The sequence below is a fragment of the Homo sapiens genome, chromosome 9, assembly GCF_000001405.40.
Source record: "Homo sapiens chromosome 9, GRCh38.p14 Primary Assembly".
Lineage (NCBI taxonomy): Eukaryota > Metazoa > Chordata > Mammalia > Primates > Hominidae > Homo > Homo sapiens.
Genome location: NC_000009.12, coordinates 124,731,517 through 124,743,551, shown reverse-complemented (window position 1 = coordinate 124,743,551; position 12,035 = coordinate 124,731,517). Strand labels below are relative to the sequence as shown.

At 41.6% G+C, this 12,035-nt stretch overlaps 1 protein-coding gene and 1 long non-coding RNA gene across 5 annotated transcripts in view, besides 1 other annotated feature; both read left to right on the top strand.

Annotated features, from left to right (window-relative positions):
• LOC124900274 (uncharacterized) overlaps positions 1-3,173 on the top strand; it is a 30,102-nt gene extending 26,929 nt beyond the window's left edge. The window contains exon 2 of the long non-coding RNA XR_007061773.1: positions 1,528-3,173. This is a non-coding gene — a long non-coding RNA (uncharacterized LOC124900274). The remainder of the gene's footprint in view (positions 1-1,527) is intronic.
• Positions 1-12,035, top strand: part of NR6A1 (nuclear receptor subfamily 6 group A member 1) — a 254,037-nt gene that overhangs the window by 27,760 nt on the left and 214,242 nt on the right. For all 4 annotated transcript variants that reach the window (NM_001489.5, NM_001278546.2, NM_001410996.1 and 1 more), the window contains exon 2: positions 10,203-10,244. In NM_001489.5, coding sequence (NP_001480.3) covers positions 10,203-10,244 — 42 coding nt within the window. The remainder of the gene's footprint in view (positions 1-10,202; positions 10,245-12,035) is intronic.
• Positions 8,303-8,834: an enhancer, noted in NCBI's record as "H3K27ac hESC enhancer chr9:127496997-127497528 (GRCh37/hg19 assembly coordinates)". NCBI's record gives its function as "activates a minimal SCP1, AML or CMV promoter by ChIP-STARR-seq in primed H9 embryonic stem cells {active_cell/tissue: H9 hESC(primed)}" and the evidence as "EXISTENCE:reporter gene assay evidence [ECO:0000049][PMID:30033119]".

Here is a 12,035-nt window from a genome sequence, read left to right as displayed (position 1 = left end):
TAATGTTTCCATAGAAATATAGACACTCGTGTACTGCATTTAAGCTGAGCAAATACATGGGCATAGTATCCCCCTAAGATTTCATGTTTAAGAAAATTACATTAGGAAAAGGGTATTGTTTTTGTTGCACTTTTAAAAATGTGACCATGACATTTGTAGGTGGAGAAAAGAGCTACTACTTAAAGCTCTACCAGATAGCTTTTGCTATATGGACTTGTGGTGCTATGTTTCTGCATTCAAAAGCATTTTCTGTTATTCTTTAAGTATGGTTTGTCAAGCTGCCTGTGAGAAACAAAAGCTAATGGCCCAAGTGGCATCCCACTCACTGGATAGAAAAGCAAGAGGCAGGTGTGAATTTAATCAGCCAATCCAAGAAAAGTGTTCCTGTATCTGCCTAGGTCTGGAGCTGCTTGCAGGCTGCAGATATGGCTGTAAGGCAGGCTGTGTAGTTCATGTTTGTTACTTCCCACCACCAAAATAAAGCTGCATTCCTTCTCAGCCTCATGCCAAAGCCATTCATTGTACCAAAAGGAGACTAGAAGATAGAGTGGAGGAAGGGCCCCCCCAAAGGGAAGTTTCTAGAATCTAAAGGAGGTCTATGGATGGCTAGCCATGTGTGTTTTGGCTGCCTCAACAAAGCTCTTTTATTTCTATTTTTAATTTATTTTTTATTTTTGAGACAGAGTCTCGCTCTGTCATCCAGGCTGGAGTGCAGTGGCACCATCTCGGCTCACTGCAACCTCTACTTCCCGGGTTCACGTGATTCTCCTGCCTCAGCCTCTTGAGTAGCTGGGACTACAGGCGCGTACCACCATGCCTGGCTAATTTTTTGTGTTTTTACTAGAGACGGGGTTTCACCGTGTTAGCCAGGATGGTCTCCATCTCCTGACCTCGTGATCCGCCCACCTCAGCCTCCCAAAATGCTGGGATTACAGGCGTGAGCCACAGTGCCCAGCTGCTCTTTTATTTTTTATTTTTATTTTTATTTTTTGAGACGAAGTTTCGCTCTTCCTGCCCAGGCTGGAGTGCAGTGGTGCGATCTCGGCTCACCACAACCTCTGCCTCCTGGTTCAAGCAATTCTCCTGCCTCAGCCTCTCGAGTAGCTGGGATTACAGGCATGCGCCACCACACCCGGCTAATTTTGTATTTTTAGTAGAGACGGGGTTTCTCCATCTTGCCAGGCTGGTCTCAAACTCCTAACCTCAGGTGATCTGCCCACCTCGGCCTTCCAAAGTGCTGGGATTAGAGGCGTGAGCCACCGTGCCCGGCCTCTTTTATTTTTTTAAAACTCCTTGTGCTTTTGGTTTTCTGGTTGAAATTTTAGAGCCCCTGTATTGAAGTAATGAGAGTTGGGCTGTTACTGACAAACTTCCTAGGTGTACATATATTTTCAGTCACTGTTGCCTATAGGATAAAAACCAAAAACTCTTCATGTATGACAGTTGAAGGTCTTTATGATAAGGCCCTGCTGAGATTCCAATCAAGTCAAATTACCAAGTAACATTCTGTTTTTTCTCTCTATTTAGTGCTTTCACATGCTGCTTCCTCTAAATATGTTTCTCAAATAGCCCTGTTTGCCTGGTGAATGCCTGTCTCCTCTCTGTGCTCCTGGCTCCATGATTGCTGCTTCTCTTCTCCCTGATATCGATCATGGCTACCGAGCACTTTCACTGACCTCAGTGCATCATATCATTGAGTACTCATAATCGACAGATGAGGAAATTGGCCCAGAGGGTGAAGTCATTTCCTAAGCTAACACAATTAGTAAGTAATGGTGCCAGGACTCAAACCTATTCTGAAATAAAAATTTATGCTCTTTCTACTCTGCACTGCTTCCCAGTGTATCATGTCCATCTGTCCCATAGTGTTAATTTTTTCGAAAATATTGTTTCAACTTTTTTCTTCAGTAGGCTTTAATCTTTTTAAAAATTGTGGTAAAATATACGTAGCATAAAATTTACCATTTTAACCATTTGAAGTGTACAACTTAGTGGCATTAAGTGCATTTGCATTGTCAGGCTCTACAGTTATTTTTGTCTGCTCTGTACTCCTAGAGACTATTAATTCTCTGTAGTCAGTCTTATTCATATCTCTACCTTCGAGGCCTCTGGCCTGTTACAGTATGGGTAGATACTTAATATTTGAAGGAGTAAGTGACTGCATTTGCAGGCTGATGGACCTATTCTTATAACAGCTGACACAGCTATAAATTGGCTAGTAAATAATACTGGCCTAAACATTTCCATATTTTATTTTTTTAAGCATGTATATCCAAAACATGTGGTGTGACAAATTTACAAAGAGGGACGACAACTATGTTTTCACTGTTTCATAGCCACCAGCCTCATACGGCCATTTAAATTAAGAGTAAAGTTAAAAATTCAGTTCCTCATTCACGCCAGTCACATTCCAAGTACTCATTGGCCACATGTAGCTAGTGGCAACTGTATTGGACAGTGTAGATATATGACATTTTCGTCATTGTAGAAATTTCTATTGGACAGTGCTTATCTAGGCTTTAAAAGTTGAGAATAGTGAAATTGTTCTCTTGAAATTTGTTATTTTGGCAAGAAATTCATTGTAGTGGCATTGTAGCTTACCATTATTGTCTTCTGGTGAAAGAAACAGTTCTTCAAACATTTATTGAGCTGCCTTTCCTGGGACATGTCTCAGGCCCAGGGCTGGGGTTATCTTTGGGGTTGAGACTAGATTTGACTGATCTAGTCAAGAGTTTTATTGGGTGCCAAATCATGATCACGGGAGACAAGGTAGATGGGAAACTGATACAGCTGACTAGAGGGGATTGGTCTAGGAAAGACCAGTGAATGACTGTTGTATATCAATAGAAAACCTGGGTAAAGATTTTTAACTTTTTCTTGGGGATCCTGGAAAAACAGACTTCTCTGAAACCTTGGGTTCTCTGAATTCAGGTTCTAGTGGTCCTGATCATGATATGGTTGTGGTGTGTAAAGCACAGGAACCTGTGGGAGCATAGAAGAGTCACACAGAATTCGTCAGAGCAATTTCAAGACCTATTTTGACCTTTGGCTTTCTTAGTCCTACAAGCCCTGTGTCACTGTATCTCATGTTTAAAACTATATAAGACTTGAATTGCAATTGACTAAGTGAAATAACGTTATCTCATATTTAATTAAAACATTTGAATTTCAAATTTGCAGATGTGTTTGTGTTTTGGATTTTGAAACCAGTCTTTTTCTTCCTCATAGGTCCCTGAAAAACTATAGTTTCAGCCATGTTGTTTGTAGTGCCTAACTCAGACTTGAGTGTTTGCAGGAAAGGGAGGGGGAAATTAGAGGAGACCTGACTTGAGTCCTTATGTCAGTGGTGAGTAAAGGTGGGCTCAGGTGGAGAAAATAGCATGTGTAAAGGAATTGAGGCCAAAGAGCGTGTTGAATTCTGGGAGCCACGATGTACTTCAGTGTGGATGGAGTATACACTGTTGGGTAGGATGCTATGAAAAGCAAGAGATAAAGTGGTTGGCAAATCATGAGAGACACATACAACTTCTGTTTTGTAGAAAGAGATAGTTGATTAGAATTGTAGAATTTTACCTTTTAAGGGCCTTAATCTTACATATGGGTTATTGAGGCTTCAAAAGAGACTGAGTAACTAGCAGAACGTTAACCAGAGTCCATGTCTCTGTTGCACTATATTGTCTTCCTACAGTCAAACTAAAACATTGCTTGAGTAACTCTAACACATTATAGAGTATAATTAGCTAGTGTTTCACACCTTAATTTGCTGACTGGTGATACTCAGAAGTTTATTTAAGTTTCTGTCATGGTAAATTTACAATTTTATAGTCAAAATATCAAAAAGGAAAAAGATCAGTGACATTTTAATCTCTCATGATAGCCAGTCACAATTTGAGGAATCAGTGATCATTTTCTTTTTGTCAAATGCCTTTTTGTCAAATGTGTGGTGGTGCACACCTGTAGTCTCAGCTACTTGGGAGGCTGAAGTAGGAGGGTTGCTTGGGTCCTAGAGGTCAAGGCTGCAGTGAGCCATGATCGTGCCACTGCACCCCAGCCTGGGCTACAGAAGCAAGACCTTGTTTAAAAAGCAAACAAAACGCCTATTTGGAGAAGAGCTTGTCAACTGGAACTTTCTCTTGTATGAAATAAGATTCCTAGACTTAGAGCCATTTGCTGATTACTTGCCATAAAGTAGATGATTTACATATATTCACCAAATCTCATGACAATTGAATGTGATGGTTATTTTTATCCTCATTCCAAGACATGGGTTTGGAGTAGTTAATTTGATAATAGCAAATCTGGGATTTGAATCTAATTCTAATTCATACCCATACCCTCGCCGCCCCCATTTTTTTTTTTTTTTTGAGATGGAGTCTCGCTCTGTTGTCCAGGCTGGAGTGCAGTGATGTGATCTGGGCTCACTGCAACCTCTGCCTCCCAGGTTCAAGCATTTCTCCTGCCTCAGCCTCCTGAGTAGCTGGGCTTATAGGCACCTGCCACCACCAAAATTAGCCCAGCTAATTTTTGTATTTTTGTATTTTTTTTTTTTTTAGATGGAGTCTTGCTTCGTTGTCTGGGCTGGAGTGCAGTGGGGTGATCCTGGCTCACTGCAACCTCCGCCTCCCGGGTTCAAATGATTCTCTTGCCTCAGCCCCCCGAGTAGCTAGGACTACAGCATGCGCCACCACGCCTGGCTAATTTTTGTATTTTTAGTAGAGATGGGGTTTCACTATGTTGGCCAAGCTGGTCTCAAACTCCTGACCTCGTGATCCTCCCGCCTTGGCCTCCCAAAGTGCTGGGATTACAGGTGTGAGCCGCTGCACCCGGCCCAATTTTTGTATTTTTAGTAGGGATGGGGTTTTACCATGTTGGTCAGGGTGGTCTTGAACTCCTGACCTCAGGTGATCCACCTGCCTCAGCCTCCCCAAATGCTGGGATTACAGGCGTGAGCGATTGTGCCCGGCCCCCGTGTCCTTTTTTCAGTACGCATTTATCTTCCTAGTTAAACTGAGGCAAGTGAATATAACCTTTGCAGTAACATTTCAGATTGCTTGTGTGCACACTGACTTGGTGATATCATCTTAGGAACCAATCTGTTTCTTGTCTCTCTTTTCCTTTTGAAAGCAATTTAAGTCACCATACAAAGACCCTGGATTTCTCAGAAAATTTCCTGGATTTCTCAGAAAATTTCCTGATCTGTTTAATATGTTGTATTCTGTGCGACAGGTGGGTTTGGGGGTATGTTTGTTTATTTATGAAGCTTAAGAGCCTGCTTTTCTTTTTGTTTTGTTTTGTTTTGAGACAGAGTCTTGCTCTGTTGCCCAGGCTGGAGTACAGTGGCGCGATCTCCGCTCACTGCAACCTCCGCCTCCCAGGTTAAAGCTATTCTCTTGCCTCAGCCTCCTGAGTAGCTGTGACTACAGGTGTGCACCACCACGCCAGACTAATTTTTGTATTTTTAGTAGAAACGGGGTTTTACTATGTTGGCCAGGCTGGTCTTGAACTCCTGGCCTCGTGATCTGCCCACCTCAGTCTCCCAAAGTGCTGGAATTACAGGCGTGAGCTACCACGCCCCGCCTAATTTTTGTATTTCTAGTAGAGATGGCGTTTTACCATGTTGGTCAGGCTGGTCTAGGACCCCTGACCTCAGGTGATCCACCGCGCCCAGCCTCTTTTTTTTGGTTTTTGAGAAGGAGTCTTGCTCTTTCCCCCAGGCTGGAGTGCAGTGGCATAATCTCGGCTCACTACAACCTCTGCCTCTGTGTTCAAGCGATTCTTCTGCCTCAGCCTCCCAAGTAGCTGGTATTACAGGTGTGCACTGCCATGCCAGGCTAATTTTTGTCTTTTTAGTAGAGATGGGGTTTCACCATTTTTGCCATGCTGGTCTCGAACTCCTGACCTCAAGTGATCCACCCACCTTGGCCTCCCAAAGTGTTGGGATTACAGGTGTGAGCCACTGCGCCCGGCCAAGATTCTGCTTTCTGCTGAACAACTCTGATTGCCTTTGAGTTGAATCTAATTGAATAAATCCAATTTAACGTACATTTGGGGTTACATCTAGCAGTGGTTTGGGTTCTTCTAGCTAAGAATCATTTTGCCAGCTAGATGTGGTTGCTGAGAATCTGGGCAAAACTCTGCTTGACAATAGTAGCTAGCTGTGGCCATTTCATTGCCTTGTGGTCAGTAGGTATGTGGTTTGTAGGTAAGATTAACATTGTTCTCCATATATCTTCAAGGCTCCTGCATTAGTGATGATCTGTAAATCCAGAGACAACATAATAGCAGTGGTCTCAGGACTAGGTCGAGGGAATGTAGATGTAATTACTGAATTTTATAATCAGGATCTTTGTGACCCTTGGAGGATTTTTTTTAGTGTGAATATAGAGTCTTTCCTCAGGAAGTAGCAAACATCTGGAATCACCACATCAAGCACTTTACAGGCTGAAAATGTAAAAGTTCAAGAACCACAGCAAGTAACCAAAGTGACATTAGTGATATTAGGGTTCCATCCCAGGTCTTTGAGGATGATGCCATGAATGGTTTAATAGTAACTCTGCTATAATCTACACTTTGCTTCCATAGACACAGCACTGAATTGGATGGACCCTAGAGATTAGTTAGTAGCAGCTTACATATATAGAGGTCTTACTTTGTCAAGTACTGTGCAAAGCCTTTATATTCACTGTGTCATTTAATTCTTTATTTTTTGAGACCTGGTCTCACTCTGTTGCCCAGGCTGGAGTGTAGTGGCACGATCATGGCTCACTGCATCCTCGACCTCCTAAGCTCAGGTGATCTCTACCTCAGCCTCCCAAGTAGGTGGGATTACAGGCATACACCACCACACCTGGCTAACTTTTGTATTTTTTTGGTAGAGATAGGGTTTCACCATGTTGCCCAGGCTGGTCTCCGACTCCTGGGCTCAAGCGATCCTCCTGCTTCGGCTTCCCAAAGTGCTGGGATTACAGGCATGCACCACTGTACCTGGTCTCATTTAATTCTTTTGACATCCCCATAAGGTAGGTGCTGTTGTTGATCCCAATTTACAACAAAGTTAGGGTCAATTCTCCTTGGATCATGTGGCCTTTGAATAGAAGTCTGCAAAGAAAAATCAGGGTGCCATTAACAGAAGTGGGGAGTGGTTGCTAGGCAGATAAAAGCAATAGATGTCCATCTTAAATATTTTACTTAGTATTTTCTTTGTTTTTGAGTCACCCTCTATTTTTGTTTGATCATTTACTTGAGTTCACAACAATGGGCACTTTCAGAAGGTACATTAGGCTTTGTCCTTTTTTGAGACTTCTAGTATAGTCCGTTCATTTAATGTCCAAAGTAGTCTGAGGCCCAGAATAGGGAGTCATATAACTAAAGGTGGCTTGAGTTAGAACCTAGGAGAGGTCTAACCTTCCCATTGTACCAGCCTGCTTTCCTGTACTTTTGTCCCGTTTTTGAGTCAATTTACATGAAGTGAATGCTTATTCTCAGTTTCACTTCTGGCATGATGTTCAACATTCAATCCGTGTGTAGTGATGAATTATTTTCTCATTGCCTGGTACTATGGTCTGAATGTTTGTGATCCCCCTGAATTCACATATTGAAATCCTAACCTCCAAGGTGATGGTATTAGCATGGGGGCCTTTTGGGAGGTGATTGTTCCATTATAAGAGAGACCCTAAAGAGCTCATTCTACCATGTGAGAACAGTGATAAGGTACCATCTGTGAACCATAAAATGGGCTCTCACTAGACACCAAATCTACCAGCATCTTGATCTTGGACTTCACGGCTCCAGAACTGTGAGACTTACTTTATGATATTTTATTATAGCAGTCTGAATGGACTAAGACACCTGGCATCTCTCCATGGCTTTTCTGATTCCCATTGCCTTTATGTAGAGGGGTTTAAAGCTGGTCTGAGATCAGCCACTTTAAGCAGCTTCTAAATTCTGGTATTTCAGATCCAGTCTCCTCATTTAGACTTTACACACACTATTCAGACTAGACTTAAGATTTCCTGATTCTATGACTTTCTTCCCTAGACTGATCTAGAGGCAGGGTTGTGTGTTCTGTTTAGTTGATCCTGCATTTCAGCACCTTCCATAATGTGTCCACAACTGTTCTGGCCAGAAGCAGCTCTGCAGATGGATAAGGCACAGTCAGTCCCTAGCCTTGAAGATTTCACTGTCTAGTGGAAGAAGCAGGTATTTAAACTATTCCTTTATTGTTTGGTGAATGCTGGTGAGGCCTCTTTTGTTTTCCATATTTCATTGTTGTGATATTGGAACTGAATCTTAAAGGATGAGTCATTTTTACCAAATGGAGGAGGAGGAGGACTCACAGAAAGGCAAGAAAGAATGTGGCATGTTTGGTGTGGTCAGAACAGCCCAGAATTGCAAAGGACTTTAAAAGTTGTGATGTTTAAGCTGGGCTTTCTGTAATCCCAGCACTTTGGGAGGCGAAGGTGGTCAGATCACTTGAGGTCAGGAGTTTGAGACCAGCCTGGCCAACAGGATGAAACCTGTCTCTACTAGAAATACAAAAATTAGCTGGGCATGGTGGCAGGTGCCTGTAATCCCAGCTGCTCAGGAGACTGAGGCAGGAGAATCGCTTGAAACCAGGAGGCGCGGAGGTTGCAGTGAGCTGAGATTGCATCACTGCACTCTAGCCTGGGCGATAGAGCAAAACTCCGTATCAAACAAAAACAAAGTCGTAGTGTTTAAGCAGTTGGCCTGCTGCATGAATCTCATTTCTCCCATATGACGGCTAGTTGTTGGTCTGGCTTTTGGTCACCCAGTTTTGACAGAAGTTACTTTCATACCCCTCTAGTCCTAATTTTGCTTCTTTTTTTTGTTTTATTTTTTGAGACAGCGTCTCGCTCTGTTGCCCAGGCTGGAGTGCAATGGTTCAATCTCGGCTCACTGCAACCTCCACCTCCCAGACTCGAAAGATTCTCCTGCCTCAGCCTCCCGATTAGCTGGGATTGCAGCCAAGCACCATCATGCCTGGCTAATTTTTGTATTTTTAATAGAGACAGGGTTTCACCCTGTTGGCCAGGCTGGTCTTGAATTCCTGGCCTCAAGTGATCAGCTCGTTTTGGCCTCCCAGAGTGCTGGGATTACAGGCATGAGCCACTGCACCCGGCACCAAGATCCGATATTTCTGAATTTACTGGTGAAATACTACAGTTGTTTACTGAACAGCTACTCCGTGCTAGGCTTGTGAGAGGTAATGGGGTTAAAGCTGTAAAACAAGGCAGGTCGGATCCCCGCCCTCATGGAACAGTCTCATTGTGGTCAGACGCTGAACAAGTAGTTCCTTGTTGATGAGTGCTAGAAGCAAGCACAGGTGTTAGAGATAATTATAAACAGGAATTTGACCTTGTGTGTGAGACAAGGGTGAAAGAGGCAAGAGAAAACTTTTCTGAGGAAATATTTAAACTGAGGAAGAGTAGAAAGCAAACAGAAGAAAGTATGCAGCCATTTCAGGAAAAACAAAACCTTTCATCAACGATGTATAGAGGACGTACTATGTTTGCCATTCCTTGTGCTTGATTTATCTCTCCAGTGTGTTAGTTATATACCAGCCAGACAAATATAGCTCATACTTTTTGGGTCTGAGCATATGAAATGTGAAGTGTGCTCTGAGAGGTATTTATTCCAACCTGAATAGCATACTTATTAATGGAAAAATTGCTTTCATTTGTTTGTGTAGGTAAAATTCTTCAGCATTTGTGAAAAATTTACATGATATTACACTGTCTGATATTGTTGTTAATATTTTACATACTTTGCTTTCTTTTGGAAAAGAATTAGCAGTGTTAAATAGAATATGACAGGTATTAAATGAATTGTAATTTTCCTGTGAATTTTTATTCCAACGGACATTGCCATGATAACTCATAATTACTTGTGCTGTTGTATATTGAGCTCCTACTGTGTGGCAAGGCCTATGGTAAGCATTTTATTTTGGTAACTTGTTTAATCCTCATTACAATTCTGTGGTAAATGCTATTATCTGTTTTTATATTGAAGGGATGAAATGGAGGCTCAGAGGGATATGTAGTAGCTAAATGTTAGAGCTAGGATTGAAACCCAAATTGACTTCTGAGTATAGATTTCCCCCCAACTGTATGATACTTCATATTTGGAGTCAGCTTGAAGTAATTCACAAATTGTAATTTTTTTTCCTATTGTTTTCTCTTTAGGTTTCTGTCAGGATGAATTGGCAGAGCTTGACCCAGGCACTAGTAAGTTCTCAATGTTACCCAATATTCTTTGGTAAGAAAAGGATGTGTGTGTACACTTTTAAGTGAATAACTTAAGGTGTCATTGATAAGCCTTACTTTATTGACTCTCAGATTTTATTTCACTTTAATTTGTAATTATAGGAAGGGCACTCTGTCTTTTCTAGTTATGCTTTCTTCTGATATTATTCAGTGGCCAGGATCTATCTGTTTAATAGAAAGTTGGTTTGCTGAAAATTTCTGTTTAACACCAGTCTCCTTGCTTTGTTCTCCATCCTTCCATGAAACCAACAAAAATAAAAATTGTACTTTGAAGCCAGGCGTGGTGGCTGACGCCTGTAATCCCAGCACTTTGGGAGGCTGAGGCGGGTGGATCACCTGAAGTCAGAAGTTCAAGACCAGCTTGGCCAACATAGTGAAACCCTGTCTCTACCAAAAATACAAAAATCAGCCGGGCGTGGTGGCGGGTGCCTGTAGTCCCAGCTACTCGGGAGGCTGAGGCTGAAGAATCGCTTGAACCCGGGAAGTAGAGGTTGCAGTGAGCCAAGAACATGCCATTGCACTCCAGCCTGGGTGACAAGAGCAAAACTCCACCTCAAAAAAAAAAAAAAAATTCGTACTTGCATTTATGCACATGGACAACTGTATACTCACAAACACTTCTAAAGTATTGATAGTTTTGAAATAATTTCTTTAAAAGAAGCATTTTGCTTAGTTTAGAAATTATAATTGATAACCTTTGTAGTACAGTTTAATTTTCATTTACGGTCTTATGGTTAAGATATGAGAGTTACCATTTCAAGGTCTAATTAAATGATGCTTTTCAGGACTATGTGAGTCTTCATCATAGATAATCATTTGCATTTCCAGTTCTTCCTAAATGTGGTGGCGTGCACCATTCTGGGACACATAGTCATAATGGTTAGAAATAGGACATGGGAGTATCCAGTGTATACAGACCTTATTTTGCTATAATGCCGAAAGGTCAAATGATAATTTAGATTGAGATTCCATGAGATGGTCTAGAGTTATTTTTCTGATTGTAGTACTTTGTTACGGCTGGCTCTTTGCCACCAGTCTGCTGTTGAGATCAGTGATAAAGCTTACCTTTCCATCATCGTGAAGCTGATTCAAGCTCTGAGGTGGTGGACCTTCTCACATATTCGCCTCTGCCCTCCTTATTAGTATAAATGTCCATGTTGCAACTAATACTTATTAATTTTTAGGCAAAATAGTTCTCATGATGCTTATCAAACACCAGGGAAATATATTTGTCTTTTTAAAAGTTGTAAATTTCAGAATCAGTTTTGTATTAGATAGTATAGCCCCAGTATACCAGCAGCTATAGGTGTATATAGTACGGTTGACCCTTAAACAATGTGGGGGTTAGGGATGACAACCCCCTGCACAGTTGAAAGTCCACTTATAACTTTTGACTCCTCAAAAACTTTATTAATAACTTACTGTTGACTAGAAGCCTGGCCGATAACATAATCAGTAGATTAACATAATTTTGTATGTTATATGTATTATATTCTATATTGTTACAATAAAGTACACTAGAGAAGAGAACATGTTGTTAAGAAAGTCATAAGGAAGACAAAATATATTTACTCTTCATTAATAGAAGTGAATCATCGTTAAGGTCTTCATCCTCACCACCTTCATGCTGAAGGAGGAGAAAGAGGGGTTGGTCTTGCTCTTGAGTGGCAGAGGTGAAAGAGGTAGAGGAGGTGAAAGGGGAGGCAGGAGAGGCAGGCACACCTGGTATAACTTTTATTGAAAAAAGTCTGC